The 20,716-nt window shown below is 40.1% G+C and overlaps 1 protein-coding gene and 1 pseudogene across 2 annotated transcripts in view; both read right to left on the bottom strand.

The window, feature by feature from the left end:
• Window positions 1-20,716, bottom strand: part of LIN52 (lin-52 DREAM MuvB core complex component) — a 116,538-nt gene that overhangs the window by 9,627 nt on the left and 86,195 nt on the right. The window lies entirely within an intron of this gene.
• Window positions 17,114-17,411, bottom strand: RN7SL530P (RNA, 7SL, cytoplasmic 530, pseudogene; annotated as a pseudogene).

Genomic DNA, 20,716 nt, shown 5'->3' with positions numbered 1-20,716 from the left:
TCAGGAGATCGTGACCATCCTGGCTAACACGGTGAAACTCCATCTCTACTAAAAATACAAAAAAAATTAGCCAGGCGTGGTGGTGGGTGCCTGTAGTCCCAGCTACTGGGGAGGCTGAGGCAGGAGAATGGCGTGAACCCGGGAGGCGGAGCTTGCAGTGAGTCGAGATTGCACCACTGCACTCCGGCCTGGACGACAGAGCAAGGCTCCATCTCAAAAAAAAAAAAAAGAAAGAAAGAAAAAAACCCCAGTTTAGTTTAAATCAATGTGCTAAAGGCTGTTTATTTAATTGGCCTCATAAAAGATGTTTTTACAGAAATGATGCCATTTGTTATAGTTATAGTTTTGACTCTTCTTTTAAAATTACTTTTTTGGTCCCTGAAATCTTGAATGTATTCTATCTTGAATGTATTCTAACAGCTATGACAAAAGGGACCTGCTGATCAGTTATCAGTGTGTGCTGTGCAGAAAAGAAGCATGGAGGGGGTGGTGAAGAGTGAAGGCAGTCACATGGAGCACACACTATGTACTAGATATTAGGAAGATTCAAATAAAGTCAAAGACATGCTTTCCCACAGAAAGAGACTATTCTCAAAGGCAATGCTGCCTTTGAGATGGAGCTAGCTGTTGTTAACAGGTATTCTGGTGGATTGGCAGAGAACAAAAAGAGAGCAATGTGATTTATAATGCTGATTTCTGTCTCGCAGGAATGTGCAACGTTTCCCTGTGGCTCTGGCGCAGAGCTGGTGTACAGCAGAGCAGTTCCAGGGCAGTCTGCCAGACTGACTCTTCACCACACTCCAGCTCAGTGTCAGATCTCCACAGGAAAAGTATCACTAAGTGATCAATAAGTCAAGGACTAAGCACTTTTTAATGCCTCTGATATGAGAGCAGCTGGTGCTGGAGTCACTGTCAAGAGCAGAAGGAGCTGTGAAGAGCACACAGTGTCACTGGATGAGGACGGGTCTTTTGGAGCTTCATCCCATTAGGACACTTGGTGGCCCTCAGCAGGTGGTGTAACTGTAATAAGGTCCACTGATTGTTCTCCGTCCACTCTTGTGGAGAAGTATACACTAGCAACAGTCTTTGGTGTAAATCTTACTTCTCTCTAAAATATATAAAAGTAGCATTTGAAGGTCGGCAGCCTTGAGGCTTTTGCCTAAAGTTCTTTAGGTGGCCAGGCATGGTGGCTCAGATCTATAATCCCAGCACTTTGGGAGGTCGAGACAGCCAGATCACTTGAGGTCAGGAGTTTGAGACCAGCCTGGGCAGCATGGTGGAACCCCATCTCTAGTAAAAATACAAAAATTAGCTAGGCATGGTGGCACATGCTTGTAATCCCAGCTACTTGGGAGGCTGAAGGGGGAGGATTGCTTGAATCTGGGAGGCGGAGGTTGCAGTGAGCTGAGATCGCACCAGTGTACTCAAGCCTGGGTGACAGGGTAAGACTCTGTCTCAAAAAAAAAAAAAAAAAAAAGTTATTTAGGCATAATAAAACATTTCAAAAAGGAGACTAAAATACTATATACCTGAGAAAAGAACAGTCTGGATCAAACTATCACAGACTATCAAAATTTTTGTCCTCAGTGTTCTCAAAAAAATCTTTTTGGGAGCACACTTTCTAGATTATCTTTCTATTGGGTATCTTGGCTCTTTATCAGGATTCTTCCAAAAGCGTGCAGTGGCCAAGAACAATGTTCCCTCCAGTGACTGCTGAGAAAGAAAATTTTATTATTTATTTTACTTTATAACTTTAATTTTTTGTAGATATGGGGTCTTGCTATGTTGAACTGGTCTTGAACTCTTGGCCTCAAGCAATCCTCTTGCCTCAGTCTCCCAAAGTGCTGGGATTACAGGCATGAGCCACCATGCCCAGCCTGAGAAAGATAATTTTATATCAAACTTTTTTTCTTCAATTCATAGTAACACCCATTTGCAGACAGTGTTTTATCCAAGAAGTAATATGAAAAAGAAAAGCCAGGACTCAATGTGCAGGTAAACAAATTTGGACAGTTCCAATATGGAAAATAATTTTAATGGCTTTTCATAACAGAAAAAAAAGGACAGAAATATCCAACCAACAGATTTATTTTCAGAATATAAAACATCAAGCAGGAACATAAAATATGGGAAGTGTCAGCCATGATGCCTGATGATTGAAGGCAGAAGTAGAAGAATCTTAATTGTCAGGCATTTGAAAAATGTTGCATTCAAGTGAAAGACTGTTTCTCCATCAACTCTCCTTGCTCTGCCCTCTTTTAAGAGCAAAACAAGACTAGATTTCAAATATGTATTCTTATCATCCTTCTTCCTACTAGAAACAAACCAAAACAACAGCAAAAAACCCCCAAAGATCTGTGTTCGAGAAATGAGAGCTAACAACTTCTTAGCTGCACTTTGTTTCCTTTTCTGAGGACCTGACAGGTCTATTTCATAGTTTTACTTGGTTTCCTTTTCAAGGGTACAACTCAATTGAATGAAAGGCAATGAGATCAGAGCAATGAATTAATACTCTGGGGGCTAGAACTTTTATTAAATACTCATAAATTTGTGCAGAACATTCATGCTTCAGGGCCTTTACATAGTAATACATCCTGGTGAAACACTTATTATGACCAAAGGCTAGTAGCTTCACAGACTTAATATCCTCATCCATAAAGTAAGAACAGCAATAATAATCTATCATGTAAGGTTAAGATAGAAGAACAACAACTAGTCAAAGTGACTTGATCAGAACACAAAATATTTTGCCCCAAGTTAGACAGAGTAGCTTATTCATAGGCTAGGTTCCACTCTCAGGAAAATCAGACCAGGATCACAGTATAGATAATTTCAAATGACCTGCATATTCAGACAACTTTCCTGCCCTGTCTATCTGACTTCAAGGGGCTGGCAGCTGGCAACAGCTAACGTCTAGGGATGATGAAGGCCTAGTCTTCTTGACCCCCAGGGAAGGGAAAGGGTTACATCTTCACACTGAGAAGCCAATAAAAACCTCTCTTGATTATAATTTAGATAAGAACCACTGGATTGAATAATAATGTCTGAAACTCCCCTGGCTGTTTCACCTTGAGACGTCCATCACTGGGTTAAACATGATGCTAATTGCATTTGGATTGATTAATTTCTCTCACTCCTGTCTATTCGAATAACGCTTAACAAAATAATCATAGCACCCAGAGCCAAATCTTTCCCGTCAAAGGAATGAAGCCACCAGAACAGGCAGAGATGAAAGAAATGAAGATGACCCGTAATTACTGCTACGGTGATATCATTACCATATTATACAAAATGAGTGTGGGGGGAAACGGGGGTGGAGGGAGGAGGGGCTGAGATTATTTATTTTTTTTAATGGAACCCTACAACCTAAGAATACAGATTTGACATCAAGTGGAACACACAGAAATATAGAACTTTTTAAAAAAATACAAATCTTCCTCATGAAATTATAAAATCCAACAAACACTGAGGCCCAAGATACATCAAATGTCTTGGGCTGTGAGCGGGTATTATTCACGCCACTATTTTTTCATCGCAATAACACTTTGTGTATGACTTGCATCGAGATTTAAGATGCTGTCTTCATACCACAAGCATTCCCATGGTTATTGGAGAATTTTTCTTTAAGCCAGGGAATAATATCATTTTATTTTAATATTGTTAGGGGTGGCCTTGTTTGTAAAATTACAATCTGGGTTTTAACTGCAGCTAGTTCTAGTTTAAAGCACATACAAAAAATCTCTATGAATTTTTGTGTATGGTTCATTGGACATTATGGATTTAATTTAAAATACTAGTGAGGACAAATATAATATTTCCCTATAAACTATTTTGTTGTTTAATAGAAACTTTTAATACTTATGACAGAAAACCTATGATCGTAAGGGATTTAAATCTACCTTAGGTGTAAATCCATCACGTATTAGTGATCTCAGATGAATTATGTAGGCTCTCCATGCCTCAGTTCCTTCCTCTGTTAAGTGGGGATTGGTATCTACCTTACTGAGTTATTGTGAGCCTTAAAGATAATACAGTTAAGTGCTCAGTAAGTGCTGGCACAAGAAAAAAATTTTCCCCTAAGATTAACTTTATGGCTATTTACAGAACCCTGTACAATGTTTTTGCTATTACATTTACAAAAGTTAATTCAACCGACACTTGTAAAGTAACGTGCACACAGATGTTAACAAATATTTGTGAAATAAATAAATAGGACACTTAGAAGGCACATAATTTGAAAAGGCTAGAAATACCTGTAAGATATTTTTGCTGTGGTATTTTAAAAGTAGAACCATCATTAAATAAAAAAACAATAAAAATGGATAATGAAGTTGTTTTATTTAGCTTGGACAAAAAGGCATATTCCTCTATTTTCTTGTACAACAAATATCCCCAAAATAAAGCAAGCATATATATTTTGAATGTGTAATAATCCAGTGATAAACAAGAGCAGTACTTTAAAAGAAAAAAAAATATGTATTTCTGTCAGGTTAAAATGAGAATCAAAACCATTTACTCTGCTAACTCATTATTTTTTGCTTTCTTTTTGGTTAAGAGAGGCAATGCAATACACTGAAAAAGGTTTTTATCTTATCTGGCATTGGAATTAGACATATTCAAACCCCAGCCCCCATTTCCAAACTTTAAGACCACAAACAAGTAATTTACTTTTCTGAACATTGGTTTTTTCTGTAAAATGGGAATTATAAAATAGACTTTGCAGACTCTTATGAGATTAAATAAGATAATGTATGAAATTCTTTCTTCTTTTTTACTTTTTTTTCTTTTTTGAGATGGAGTCTCACCCCGTCACCCAGGCTGGAGTACAGTGGTGCAATCTTGGCTCACTGCAACCTCTACCTCCCATTCAAGTGATTCTTGTGTCTCAGACTTCGGAGTAGCTCAGACTAAAGGCATGTGCCATAACGCCCGGCTAATATTTGTATTTTCAGGAGAGATGGGGTTTCACCATGTTGGCCAGGCTGGTCTTGAACTCCTGGCCTCCAGTGATGCAACAGCCTTGGCCTCCCAAAGTACTGGGATTACAGGCATGAACCACCATGCCTGGCCAAAAATCTCCTGACCTTGTGATCCGCCTGCCTCGGCCTCCCAAAGTGCTAGATTACAGGCGTGAGCCACCACGCCTGGCCTTCAGGTGCTTTCTTGAATATCAACCTATTTACTTCCTTTACAGCACTTAACAAAATCTGAAATTAACTTTTTGTTCCCCCTGAGACAGGGTCTTGCTCTGTTGCCCAGCCTGGAGAGTAGTGGCACAATCTTGGCTCACTGCAGCCTTGAACTCCTGGGCTCAAGTGATCCACCTGCCTCAGCCTCCCAAAGTGCTGGGATTAAAGGTGTGAGCAACCATGCCTGGCCTTGAAATTAACTTTGTTTATTTACTTTCATGCTCCATGAAGTTCTGCAGAACCTCTTGCTGTATCCCCAGCAATTAGAACAATACCAAGCATATGGTAGGTGATCAACAATCTGTTGAAATAATATATTCATATATGAGGAAAGAGGAACTCTATTTCCTTTTCAGTTTTTTGTTTGTTTGTTTGTTTGTTTTTTTGAGACAGAGTCTCACTCTGTCACCCAGGCTGGAGTGCAGTGGCACCATCTTGGCTCACTGCAGCCTCCGCCTCCTGGGTTCAAGCGATTCTCCCGCCTCAGCCTTCCCAAGTAGCTGGGATTACAGGTGTGAGCCACCATGCCTGGCTAATTTTTTGTGTTTTTTCGTAGAGATGGGGTTTCATCATGTTGGCCAGGATGGTCTCGAACTCCTGATCTCAAGTGATCCAGCCACCTCGGCTTCCCAAAGTGCTGTGATTACAAGCATGAGCCACTGTGCCCGGCCTCAGTTCTTAATTAAACACTGAGCATCAAATATTTTTGTTTAAGTAAAATTACATATGCATTTTACCCTTTAACCCAGAAATTCCACTTTAGAGTTACTCACATGCCTATTCAGTTCAGTACTATTTGTAATAACTGAAGATGAGAAACAACTCAAATATCCATCAATAGGGAGAGGGATGATCGTGTCACTACACTCCAGCCTGAGCAATAGAGTGAGACCCTGTCTCAAAAATAAATAAATAAATGAAATAGAAAGAAACCTTAAGCTGCATCCAGGGGTCTTGTTGTTATATGTAGTTAGTTATTTTGAAGTAACTTTTATTGTAGGTTAAATAAAATAATTATGTTAGTTATTAGGAACCAAGATTTTCAGCATTAAAAAAGAAATCACTGGCTGGGCGCGGTGGCTCATGCCTGTAATCCCAGCACTTTCGGAGGCCGAGGCAGGCAGATCACGAGGTCAGGAGATTGAGACCATCCGGGCTAACATGGTGAAACCCCGTCTCTACTAAAAATACAAAAAATTAGCCAGATGTGGTGGCGGAGCCTGTAGTCCCAGCTAACCGGGAGGCTGAGGCAGGAGAATGGCGTGAACCCAGGAAGTGGAGCTTGCAGTGAGCTGAGATTAAGCCACTGCACTCCAGCCTGGGTGACAGAGCAAGACTCCATCTCAAAAAAAAAAAAAAAAAAAAAAAGAAATCATTATAAAATCAAATATATTACATAAAAACCCCCAATCCCCAAATATTTTAAATTTGAACTGGCTGCATTATTGGTAAGAATACAATTCCTTTTTGTCTTTTCACTAAAACCATATTTACCTACCCTGTTCATAGAACAGGCCTAGAGACAATGACAGTCTCTTAACAATGAGTACTATTAGTGCCTAGATTTCTACTAAAAGAAACCAGGGTTCCTTGGAGAAATGGATAAGATTCCAAATCTGGAGAAGTAAGTGAACCAGGGATATCCTGACATGCCTGAAAGCAAGAAGGTTATCAAGGTTACTAGGGTCTTCCATGTTTCAGTCTAACAAAAAATAAGAAAAAATTTTTAAAAAGAAGAAAAAATAAATAAAAAAGAAAAAAGATGTACTAGGGTCATGTCAAAAGACAGGAGCCAACTTGAAGGGGCACCCACTAAAGATGGGACCATTTTGAAGAAAAAAAGAATAATGATTGTAATAGATCTAAATACAACAAATACAAACATCTATGATATTTTAAAAAAGTCCTCAGTCACTTCAACTCATTCTGAAAATTGACAGATGAAAAGAGGAAAAATTTAACATTTTTTCTGCCATTCTTCTTTGAACTGTATTTCAGGGAAGCCAAACAGTTGCCGATTTAATAGAATAATAAATGTTATTATCATTACCGTTATTATTTTGAAAATAATATGACTGATACCACCCAAAGCCACTGATCTTCACTCAAACTGGAACAGACAGATGTCATGTCAGTCTTGATGTGAAGGAACAGGGAGCACACAGTACCATTATGAAGCATTCTTGCCAAAAAGACTGAATCCAAACCCAATCCATTATCTAGCTCTATCAGCTTACAGGAAATTTGGCGGGAAAGAAGAACATGTTAAATGACATCACTAGGATAAAATTATCCAAACTTAAAATGTGGGGGCCGGGTGTGGTGGCTCACGCCTGTAATCCCACCAACTTGGGAAGCCAAGGTGGGTGGATCGCTTGAGCGCAGCCCAGGCAACATGGAGAAATCCCATCTCCACAAAAAATACAAAAATTAGCCAGGCGTGGTGGCATGTGCCTGTGGTCCCAGCTACTTGGGAGGCTGAGGTGGGAGGATCACTTGAGCCCAGGATGTCAAGGCTACTGTGAGTGAAGATCACACCTGTGCACTCCAGCCTGGGTGACAGAGTGAGAAAATGTGGGGAATCCTATCAGACAAACAACCCATCTTCTTCATTAATTAATGGGGAAAAAATCCAGAGGAACTAGGGGGTGCAGTTACAGAGAAATTAAAAGAGACTTAAGATTCATGTCAACTAAATGCAATGTACAGACCTTGTTTGGATCCTGATTCAAACAAACCTATTGTAAAAAAACAATTTTGAGCCGAACTGGACATGGACTATTAGATGTTATTAAATAATTATTATTTTATTCTGTTTGATATGTTAATAATGGTAGTGTTTCAAAAAAGGGGGGATCTTCTGGTTAGAGATATGTATGAACGTATTTATGAATGAAATGGTATGACATCTAGGATTTGCCTTAAAATATTATAGTAAACAACATAACAAAAAGTGTGATAAAGGGGGTACAGATAAAACAAGAATAGCAGAAAGTTGATCATTTTTGAAGCTGGGGATGGGTACACAGGGTTCATTGTAACATTCTCTGTACTTTAGTTAGCTTAAAAATTTTCTATAATAAAAAGAAAACCTCACCAAATGCTTCCCTGGAAATATAGCTTTTTCCTCATTATCACTACATATCATAATATCATTCATAAGTTAGAAGCAACATGAATGAGTACTCAGGGAAGAGTAGGCCAGGGAGCAGAGACAGGGATGATTAATTGGCCTGGAAATAGATGGACAGAAAAAGCTTTAGAAGCGGGTAACTTTTTGGCTGAGTGCGGTGGCTCATGCCTGTAATCCCAGCACTTTGGGAGGCCGAGGCAGGCAGATCACGAGGTCAGGAGATCGAGACCATCCTGGCTAACATGGTGAATCCCCGTCTCTACTAAAAATACAAAAAAAATTAGCCGGGCGTGGTGGCGGGCACCTGTAGTGCCAGCTACTTGGGAGGCTGAGGCAGGAGAATAGCGTGAACCCGGGAGATGAAACTTGCAGTGAGCTGAGATCGCGTCACTGCACTCCAGCCTGGGCGACAGAGTGAGACTCCGTCTAAAAAAAAAAAAAGAGAGAGAGAGAGAGAGAAGGGTAACTTTTCATGTCACGAATGTTTATTTCCATCGTTAAATTCTTTAGATGAGGAACAAATTACATACAACCAAGAATCAAACACAGATTACATATTTTTTAAAATCTACCAAATCAAACTCAGGTTAAGCCTAATAATAAGGAGCTACTACCTTCCAAGCTTTCTCTCTCTTAAATATTTAAGAAATCATACTGATGAATCTAAGAATACAATTTTCACTTTGCCCATAAAACAACTATGAGGGAAACTGCCCGGCTTAACATGTTGCTTCTACAAAATTTGCTGGCAAGTGGAGAGAAAGAGTCCTTGGTTACTTACTGAATCTTCTCAAAAGAAGCTTTTGAGATAGGTAGCAAGACTAACTTTCAGGTCCAGGCCAGTTTGATAGCTAACAAGTCACAAAAAGGAATAGCTTAAGTTAAAATTCCACTAGTCTAACTAAATTTCTACTATTAATACTTTGCCCTCACACTATCAACAACTGTATATGTAAATGATGACCTCGCTAATCCAATTTTACTGCGATCATTCTTTTACTTCACAGATGCTGATTTGTCCAAATCAGCATCTACATTACTTGGCTGATTTGGACAAATCAGCATCTACATTACTTAGCTGATAATTTAACTGATAATTTGATTTTTAATTGTTTGCATTGTGGTTTCAATAAATATGGCTTATTTTCTCAACCTGACTGAACAATAAATTCATCAATGTGAAAATACTTTTAAAGATAATTTCCCTAATGGACTTGGAAAAAATGCACAAAAGGTCAGGCGCAGTAGCTCACACCTGTAATCCCAGCACTTTGGGAGGCCTAGGCGGGCAGACCGCTAGAGCTCAGGAGTTTCAGAACAGCCTGGGCAACACAGCAAAACCCCCTCTCCACAAAAAATACAAAGAATTAGCTGGGCATGGTGGCATGCACCTGTGGTCCCAGCAACTCAGAAGGCTGGGGTGGGAGGACTGCTTGAGCCTGGGAGGCAGAAGTTGCAGTGAGCCGAGATTGCGCCACAGCACTCTAACCTGGGTGACAGAGTGAGACCTTGTCTCAAAAAAATAAACAAATAAATAAAAAGCACAATATACAGTAGCCATCTAGTCAGCCTTAATTTTAAAAAACTTTTTCCTCTAAAATCATGTAGCAGTACAAAGGTACAACAATTTCTGTCTTCATTTGCTTATGAATTTGTTTCAAAACCACATCACAATCAGGTAAGAACTTGATGTGTCTACTTAGGAAGTCATATGGTAGTGGTTATTTTCCCTGTGATTAGAAATAACCGCTAGTAAACTTTCTGTTTTTTCAGAATATTTGATATTGATGTTTCTGAATAATCTTATTTAAAAAATTCATGAACTACTAGTTTAAAATAATTAGAACACAAAAGGATCCTCAGCCAGAAAATTATATTGAGTATAATAGTCTGTATCACTGAAACTCTACAGCTTAACCTGCTTATGGTTAACATATAGTAAATGTGTATTAAATGAAAGAATACTATTTCAATGATAATACAGACCATAATTTAGGATCTTAAAATAAATTATACATAATGTGGCAAAACACAATAGACGGGGGAAAATCTGGTTAATTAGATTCTAGTATAAGCATAAGCATGTACTAGAATTTTTTTTTTTTTTTTGACAGGGTCTTGCTATCACCCAGGCTGGAGGGCACTGGTGTGATCATGGCTCGCTGCAGCCTCAACCTCCTAGGCTCAAACAGTCCTCCCACCTTAGCCCCCTGAGTAGCTGGCCACCATGCCTGGACCGGCTTTTTTTCTTCTTAAAAATTTTTTTGTAGATGAGGTCTCGCTACATTGCCAGAGCTGGTCTTGAACTCCTGACCTTAATAAGTGATCCTCTCACTCTGTCCTTCCAAAATGCTGGGATTACAGGTGTGAGCCACTGCAAATGGCCTTCCATTCTTTCCTTTTCTTTTCTTTTTTCTTTTTTTTTTTTTTTTTTTTTGAGACAGAGTCTTGCTCCATCACCCAGGCTAGAGTGCAGTGGCATGATCACAGCTCACTGTAGCTTCTACCTCCTGGCTCAAGTGATCCTCCCACCTCTCAGTCTCTCCAGTAGCTGGGATTACAAGTGCGTACCACCATGCTCAGGTAATTTTTCTATTTTTTGTAGACAGGGTCTCACTACGTTGCTCAGGCTGGTCTTGAACTCCTTGGCTCAAGTGATTCTCCCGCCTCAGCCTCCCAAAGTACCGATATTACAGGCATAAGCCACTGTGCCCAGCCAGGCCTATGATTCTTAATAATTAAATTTAAAATGTATTTTTTTCACTTCATTAATTTTAATTGCATTCATACCAATGCCAAAGTGAAAGTGAAAAGCAGCATTTTTATATGTTAGACCACTGGCCTCAAAATCAGAAGGTTAGAGTTCTAAACTAGTTTAATCAGTTAGTAGACATTTTACTGTGTGCCCATTATGTGCTCTTACAATTGCAAATAATGAGACACCAAAAGAGATCTACCATTCTTCCTTAAAAAATTCCTCCTCCCTAGGCTGGGCGCGGTGGCTCACGCCTGTAATCCCAGTACTTTGGGAGGCCGAGGCGAGTGGATCACGAGGTCAGGAGATCGAGACCACGGTGAAACCCCATCTCTACTAAAAATACAAAAAAAAAAATTAGCTGGGCATGGTGGCAGGCGCCTGTAGTCCCAGCTACTTGGGAGGCTGAGGCAGGAGAATGGCGTGAACCCGGGAGGCGGAGCTTGCAGTGAGCCGAGATCATGCCACTGCACTCCAGCCTGGGTGACAGATTGAGGCTCCGTCTCAAAAAAAAAAAAAAAAAAAAATTCCTCCTCCCTCCTTTGAGCGCTTAAGTTTGCTCACCAAGAGTTTGTCCTCGGTGTAGACACTATGCAGGTAGAGAGCTTTGCAAATATGGAGTACTTTCCCCCACAAGATCTTCAAGAGAGGGCCAGGTGCGGATATCAGGAACAGAACCTATTTCAGTAAACTGGATGTCTTTCAGGTAGGTTAGTTAGAATTTATAATGTTAGTGGTTCTCAGAGTGTGGTACTTGACCAACTACATAAGCATCACTTCAGAACTTGTTAGGCTCCATACCAAATCTACTGAATCAGAAACTCAAGAGCTTGAGCACAGGATCCATGGTTTAGCCAGCCCTACAGGTGATTCTAACTCATGCTAAAGTCTGAAAACCATTAGCCTATATTATCCAGGCTCTTTCATTTTGTTTCCAGTTCCCTGCAGCTCTAATTCATTACTAACAGAGGAGGCAGGCTTTTATTTTATCAAAATTATAATCATAAAGCATACTTCTCACAATTAAACCACAAGGGGGGTGTCTTTTAGAAAATATGGCCTACAGAAGGAAAAATGAGAACATTTAGCCGAAGAATTAGATTTTTTTTTCTTTTTTTTCTTTTTTTTTTTTTTGAGATGGAGTCTCACTCTGTCACCCAGGCTGGAGTGCAGTGGCCTGATCTTGGTTCACTGCAACCTCCACCTCCCGGGTTCAAGCGATTCTGCCGCAGCCTCCCGAGTAGCTGGGACTACAGGCATGTGCCACCACGCACAGCTAATTTTGTATTTTTAGTAGAGATGGGGTTTCACCATGTTGGCGAGGCTGGTCTCGAACTCCTGACCTCAAATGATCCGCCTGCCTAGGCCTTCCAAAGTGTTGGGATTACAGGCATGAGTCACCATGCCCGGCCCAAAGAATTAGAATTTTTACCAAAACTATAGCCCTCTATTGCTATCTATTGTACTCAGTGTTAAGGCTACAATACAGTCCTTAACCTTGAGAATCTTGGAAGAAGACAGCCTGGGCAATAAATTATTATCAAACAATGTAATGAATCCTATATGAGTATAGAACACATTTATGAGGATAGAATGGAGATAATTAATTCTGCAGAAGACTTGGTTTGGATGGACAGGAAAAGCTTTAGAAAGAGAGGGATGTGCTTGAATGAGCCTTTATAAATATATTACTGTATTATTATTATTTTTTGAGACAGGGTCTCATTCTGTTGCCCAGGCTGGAGTGTAGTGGCGTGATCATAGCTCCTCAAAATCCTGGGCTCAAGTGGTCCTCTCACCTCAGCCTCCTGAGTAGCCGGGCCTACAGGTGCATGCCATCATGCTCAGCTAATTTTTAAGTTGTTTTTTTTTGTAGAGATGGGGTCTCACTATGTTGGCCAGGCTGGTCCTGAACTCCTGGCCTCAAGTGATCCTCCCACCATGGCCTCCCAAAGTGTTAGGATTATAGGCATGAGGCACTATGTCCAGCCTCTCTATTTTTTTTGAAGGTAGAAGAACTACAAAAGCTAGCCTGGGTGTGGTGGCTCACACCTGTAATCCCAGCACTTTGGGAGGTTGAGGTGGGTGGATCACTTGAGGCCAGGAATTTGAGACCAGCCTGGCCAATATGGCGAAACCCCGTCTCTACTAAAAAAATACAAAAATTAGCTAGGTGTGGTGGCATACACCTGTAATCCCAGCTACTCGGGAGGCTAACGCACGAGAATCACTTGAACCCAGGAGGCAGAGTTTGCAGTGAGCCAAAATCGCACCACTGCACTCCAGCCTGGGCGACAGAGCAAGAATCTGTCGCAAAAAAAAAAAAAAATTATTTTAATAAAGAGTACTTATTAATTAAGTCCCCACTAATCTAGCTTTGATTTGATTAAGGGATCCTATTTCTAATAAATCCCAAAATCCAGAATTGAGTCAATGGCCAAAAGACAATATGAATAATACACCTAAAGATTCCTACCATTAATCACATTCTTTGAACCATTATTGCTCAAGTTCAGCTTCAGCTGCTGGGTACATTCACTTCATCTGTACAATCAATGATGTGTCTTTGAGGTTAATGTGAATATAAAAATTAATTTCTGTATGCCAGAAATCTATTCAGCATTTTAAGTGTATAGATTCTTTCTCGCAAAGTTACACTCTAAGCAAAAACGAAACAAAAATCTATGACTGAGATTTAAAAACAACAACAGGCCGGGTGCAGTGGCTCACACCTGTTAATCCCCGTGCTTTGGGAGGCCGAGGCAGGTGAATCACTTGAGGTCAGGAGTTTGAGACCAGCCTGGCCAACATGATGAAACCCCGTCTCTACCAAAAATACAAAAAATTAGCCAGGCCTGGTGGCGGGTGCCTGTAATCCCAGCTACTCAGGAGGCTGAGGCAGGAGAATTGCTTGAGCGCACGTGGCGGAGGTTGGAATGAGCAGAGATCACGCCATTGCACTCCAGCCTGGGCGACAGAGCGAGACTCCATCTCAATAAATAAATAAACCAACAAACAAAATAAAAACAACATAACAGAGGTATGACCAATTGCTGTCATTCAGCTTTTCATGCCCCAAGATAGCCAACCAACTGTAAATGAATTCACAATACATCATTCTTTTCCATCCTAGCTCAAGATATAAAATATCAAACTTTAGAGTCCCTTGAAATGAAATCCAATATTCAGACTGATGAAAACAAAAAGGGCTGTGTTTTTGCTTACTAAGTCACAGTTTCTAAATAACTCAAAAAGACATAGGAGAGACTAATGAATGGTTGAGTGACCTATCAGTTTAGTAAAATGTATTTGGACCATTGCATGATATGTTATTCTCACATTAAGTTAAAACTTTATCTAGGGTGTTCTGATGCATATCTTATGGCATAATATACAAACATCCCCTTACATCAAAAGCTGAAAACGATGACACAAAACTTGTACATGAATGTTCACAGCAGCATTATTTATAATAGTCAAAAAGTGCAAACAGGCCGGGCGCAGTAGGTCACACCTGTAATCCCAGCACCTTGGGAGGCCGAGGCAGGCAGATCACCTGAGGTCAGGAGTTCGAGACCAGCCTGACCAACATGGAGAAACCCCATCCCTACTAAAGATACAAAATTAGCCGGGTGTGGTGACACATGCCTGTAATCCCAGCTACTTGGGAGGCTGATGCAGGAGAATGGCTTGAACCCAGGAGGTGGAGGTTGCAGTGAGCCGAGATCGCACCATTGCACTCCGGCCTGGGCAACAAGAGGGAAACTCAGTCTCAAAAAAAAAAAAAGTGGAAACAACCCAAATGTCCCACTGATGAATGAATAAACAAAACATAGTTTATCCATGTAATGGAATATTATTTGGCAATAAAATGAAATAAAACCCAGAGATAGAAAATAGGTTAGTGGTTACTTTGGTCTAGCAGGGCAGGTTGGGAGAGTGAGGAGGAATAAGGAATGACTCAAATGGATATGGAGTTTCTTTTGGGGTGATAGAAATATTAAAACATTAACTGTGCTGATAGCTGAAGTATTCTGTAAATATAGTCATGTGCTGCATAAAATTTCAGCCAACAATGAACCACATACATGATGGTGGTCCCATAAGATTATAATGGAACTTAAAAATTCCTATCTCCTAGGGATGTTGTAGCTGTTGTAACATCGTCATAGTGCAACGCATTACTCATGTGTTTGTGGTAATGCTGGTGTCAACAAACCTACTGTGCTGACAGTCATATAAAAGTTCATCACACACAATTATGTATAGTACATACTTGATAATGATAGATGGCAATATTACTGGTTTATGTATTTATTATACTTTTTGTCATTATTTTAGAAAGTACTTCTACTTATTAAAAAAAAAAGTTAACTATAGCTGGGTGCAGTGGCTCATGTCTGTAATCCTAGCACTTTGGGAGGCCAAGGCAGGCGGATCACTTGAGGTCAGGAGTTCAAAACCAGCCTGGCCAACATGGTGAAACCCCGTCTCTACTAAAAATAGAAAAACTAGCCGGAAATTGCTTGAACCCAGGAGGTGGAAGTTTCAGTGAGCCGAGATTGCGCCACTGCACTCTAGCCTGGGTGACAGAGCATGGCTCAATCTCAATAATTATAATATAAAACAGCCTCAGGCAGCTCCTACAGGAGGTATTCTAGAAGGCACTGTTATCACAGGAGATGACAGCTCCATGTGTGTTACTGCCTCTGAAGACCTTCCAGTGGGACAAGATGTGGAGATAGAAGAGAGTAATGCCCATGATCCTAACCATGTGTAGTCCTAGGTTAATGTGTGTGTTTGTGTCTTAGAGACTGGGCCTCACTATGTCACCCAGGCAGGAGTGCAGTGGCCTGATCATGGCTCACTGTAATCCTGTACTCCTCAACTCAAGTGATCCTACTGCCTCAGCCTCCCAAAGTGTTGGGATTACAGGCATGAGCCACTGCACCTGGCCTAAACAATTTTAAAGATAGAAAAATCTTATAGAAAAAGGATATAAAGAAGGAGAAGATTTTGGTATAGCTGTATAATGGGGGTGTGTGTGTGTGTGTGTGTGTGTGTGTGTGTGTGTGTGTATGTGTCTGTGTTAAGAGATGGGATCTTGCTTTGCCACCCAGGCTGGAGTGCAGTGGTGTGATTATAGCTTACTGCGGCCTCACACTCCTGGGCTCAAGCAATCCTCCTACCTCAGCCTCCTGAATAGCTGGGACCTCAGGCACACAGTACCATGCTCAGCTAATTTCTATTTTTTTTTTTTGTAGAGACAGGGTCTTGCTATATTGCCCAGGCTGGTCTTGAACTCCTGGCTTCAAGTGATCCTGGGGCCTCGCTACATAGCCTGGACAGGAGTATGGTGGCCTGATCATGGCTCACTGCAACCCTGAACTCCTCAGCTCACTGATCCTCCCACCTTGGCCTCCCAAAGTGCTGAGATTATAAACATGAGCCACCATGCCCCAGCCTTGTGTTTTAAGTTAAGTGCTATTACAAAAGAGTTAAAAAGTTAAAAAAAAAATTAGAAGTTTATAAAGTAAAAAAGCTACAGTAAGCTAAGGTTAATTTATTATCAAAGAAACATATTTTAATACATTTAGTATAGCCTAAGTGTACAGTGTTTATAAAGTTTGCAGTAGTGTAATGTCCTAGGCTTTCATATTCACTCACCACTCACTCACTGACTAACCCAGAACAACTTCCAGTCCTATAAGTTCCACTCATGGTAAGTACCCTATACAGGTGTACATTATTATTATTATTATTATTATTTTCTTTGAGTCAAGGTTTCACTCTGTCACCCAGGATAGAGTGCAGTGGTGTGATCATGGCTCACTGCAGCCTCGACCTCCGTTAACTGAGGGCTTAAGTGATCCTCCTGCCTCAGCCTCCTGAGTAGCTAGGACCACAAGCATGCACCATCATACCTGGCTAATTTTTTAATTTGTTTGCAGAGATGGGACCTTGACATGTTGCCCAGGCTAGGTGTACCATTTTTTTTTTCAAATGTATTATACTGTTTTAGTTTTTGTTTTTTTAAGAGAAGGGGTCTCACTTTGTTGCCCAAGCTGGAGTGCAGCAGCTATTCACAGGCATGATCCCGCTAGTGATAAGAACACGAGTTCTGACCTTCAGTTTCCAACGTGGGCTGGTTCACCCTTCCTTAGGCAAACTGGTAGCCCCTGCTCCCATAAGGTCACCATATTGATGCTGAACTTAGTGCAGATACCTGATTGGCATAGCGCACTACAGGCTAGAACTCCTGGGCTCAACCAATCCTCCCCCCCAATAGCCTCCTGAGTAGCTGGGACTACAGGTGCCCATCACCATGCCCAGCTATACTGTATCTTTACTCTACCTTTTCTATGTTTAGATGCACCAATACTTACTGTTGTGTTCCAACTGCCTCTAGTATTCAGTACAGTAACATACTGTACAGGTTTGTGGCCTATGAGTAATAGGCTATACCATATAGCCTAGGTGTGTAGTAGGCTATACTATCTAGGTTTGTGTAAGAACACACTATGATGTTCACACAATGAAATCACCTAATGTTGAATTTCTGAGAACATATCCCCAGAGTTAAGCAACATATGACTGTATTAAAAACCCATTGACTTGTACACTTCAAGTGGGTGAATTTTATTGTATGTGGAAAATATCTCAATAAAGCTCCTTTTAAAAGTGGGAGATGTCTAGAGCTGAGCAAAAATTAAATGCAGAGATATAAAAAGACCTTCAGGTTCAAGTCAAACCCCTGATAGAAAGACTTCATTCACAAAGAGGAGATCTATGGCAACAGAACCTGGGTTTCTTCACTAAAGACAAAGGCACCTCTTACCTCTATCCTGAAGCACAAAGGAAGCTTGCCCTGTCCTTCTGGCTTTGTTCTCGCAAGAGAACGGGCAGAAAATCTAATTAATCAATGGTCTGGATAAAAAATTTGAGCATTGGGACATTACTGCCATATAATTAAAGAAAAAATACTTCATAAATTCAATTCTGTTTAAATTCAAATAACATCAGAATTTGTATTATGCTGTACTGTTTTTAATAACAAAGATACTATATTTTGACTTAAAAGTACAGTACTTAGGTTATTTACATACTATGAATAATTATTTGAAAAATATTCCTTTTGTTTAACCACTCATGCTAGGAAGTCAGGATACAATTAGATTTAAAATAAGTAGATTAGATGAATGCAAATGCATTAAATACAAAAACATTTAACAAACTGTATATTTAAACATATCAAAATCCACAAAGTGAAAGATTAATGTTGCTGTAAAAACTAAGTAATCCAGGCTGGGCACGATGGCTCATGCCTGTACTCCCAGGACTTTGGGAGGCCAAGGCGGGCGGATCACCTGAGGTTGGGAGTTCAAGACGAGCCTGACCAACATGGAGAAACCCTGTCTCTACTAAAAATACAAAATTAGCCAGGCGTGGTGGTGCAAGCCTGTAATCCCAGCTATTCAGGGGGCTGAGGCAGGAGAATCACTTGAACCCAGGAGGCAGAGGTTGCGGCGAGCTGAGATCATGCCATTGCACTCCAGCCTGGGCAACAAGAGCGAAACTCTGTCTCAAAAAACAAAACAAAACACACAAAAAAACACTAAGTAATCCTTAGTACATGTAAATAATTGGCTAAGTAATAACCAAATCAGCAATCCAAATTCAGATCATGAACAACAGAATGCTTTTTATACAAAAAGCATTTAATTATAGGTTCTATGTCAGTATTGTGCTACACTTGAAAGATACTGAAAAATAATATTGATAGTTTCTTTTTTTAATTGGTTCATTCAATACGTATTTATTGGATACAATTTTATACAGGATTAGGAGTTCTCAACTTTTTTGCATTCACAATTTGAAGAGATTAGAATATTCAGAAACTCACTAAACAAGTTAGCACACTTATTCTGATGGCATAATTTCTCAAAGGGCCCATAGGAACCTCCATAATCACCACACTAGTTACATGGTTGCCATTCAGTCCTGTGTGGCTATTTGAGCAGAACATTTTCTGATCTAACTACATTCGTATTTTATTAATGAGGCAAAGTGCTCACTGGCTCCAGTAAAGGCCATCTTTCTTTGGTGCTGTCTTGATGTTATACTTCTTACCTCTTACTGAAAACAAGTTGTACCTGCTCCACACATCACATCACATAACCTGCTCAGTCCTAAGTTGCACCTGACACCACTGTAATGCTAATCTGTTTATTACACATTGATCAAACTTAGAGCACACGCAGTGAAGAGTTTGTGCTATGGAACAGCTAAGAACCATAATTATTAACATTTCTTAATGATTATGTTCACTTAACATGTATTATTACTTAAAATTCTCACAACCCCCCTATAAGTAGATATAATTTATTATTCTCATTTTATAAATGAAGGAACTGAGAGAGAGAAGTTATATAACTTGTCAAGATTACACCGCCAGTAAATGGCAGAGGCAGCACTGGATCCGGGTGGCCTTATCTCCAGGTCCTGTGTTTTAACGGCTTTGCTACAGTTATCTCCCCATGGTTCCTGATGTAAAAGGAGTTCACAGACTAGAGATACATATACCATTATAATATAATATGACAGTGCTGTAACAGAAGAATGTAGGAGCACAGAAAAGCTAGGGAAATGGTCAAAGCCTTACAATAGTGAAGAAACAGCATTCAATGTTTCAAACATTACAGACACAAATTTCCCAAGAAATATGACTTAAGTTTGCTTTAAGAATTAAAATGGGCCGAGAGCAGTGGCTCATGCCTGTAATCCCAGCACTTTGGGAGGCCGAGGTGGGCAGATCATCTGAGGTCAGTTAGAGATCAGCCTGGCCAATATGGCAAAATCCCATATCCACTAAAAATACAAAAAATTAGCCAGGTTTGGTGGCGCATGCCTGTAATCCCAGCTACTTGGGAGGCTGTGGCAGGAGAACTGCTTGAACCTGGGAGGTGGAGGTTGCAGTGAGCCAAGATCGCACCATTGCTCTCCAGACTGGGTGACAGAGCAAGACTCTGTCTCAAAAAAAAAAAAAAAAAAAAGAATTAAAATATTAAAATGAAGACAGACATAAAATAATATTTGATCTAAATTCATTTTCCTATTTCTAGGTCTATGTAAGTTCTGACTTTGCTTATATAACCGTTCATTACTTTTTAGACAACATTCTTTTACTAAATTTCTAGTATAATGGCTTTTGTTTTCCTTCTAGTTCATAACATTTATTTAGGTTTTCTTTAATGCCTGTCAATAAAATTTACAATTTTTTTCCACTAAAATTTTTTGTAGATTAAAACTTAATGTACTTTATATTCTTACTACGACTGGGAAAATCATCTTTCTGAAACATTATTTTCTAATTGTTTCTGGTGTAAAAAATACAACAGACTTTTGTTTGGGTTTTTTTTTTTTTTTAGACAGGCTCTCACTCTGTCACCTAGGCTGGAGTGTAGTGTTACAATTGTAGCTCACTGCAGCCTTGACCTTCAAAGCAATCCTCCTGCCTCAGTCTCCCAAGTAGCTGGGTCTATAGGTGCATGCTACCACACCTGGCAAATTTTTTTTTACAGATGGAATCTTGCTATGTTGTCCAGGCTGGTCTCCTGGGCTCAAGTGATCCACCCACCT

Source organism: Homo sapiens, chromosome 14, assembly GCF_000001405.40.
Source record: "Homo sapiens chromosome 14, GRCh38.p14 Primary Assembly".
NCBI lineage: Eukaryota > Metazoa > Chordata > Mammalia > Primates > Hominidae > Homo > Homo sapiens.
Note: the sequence above shows the minus strand (reverse complement) of the source record. Positions and strands in the feature narration are given on the sequence as shown.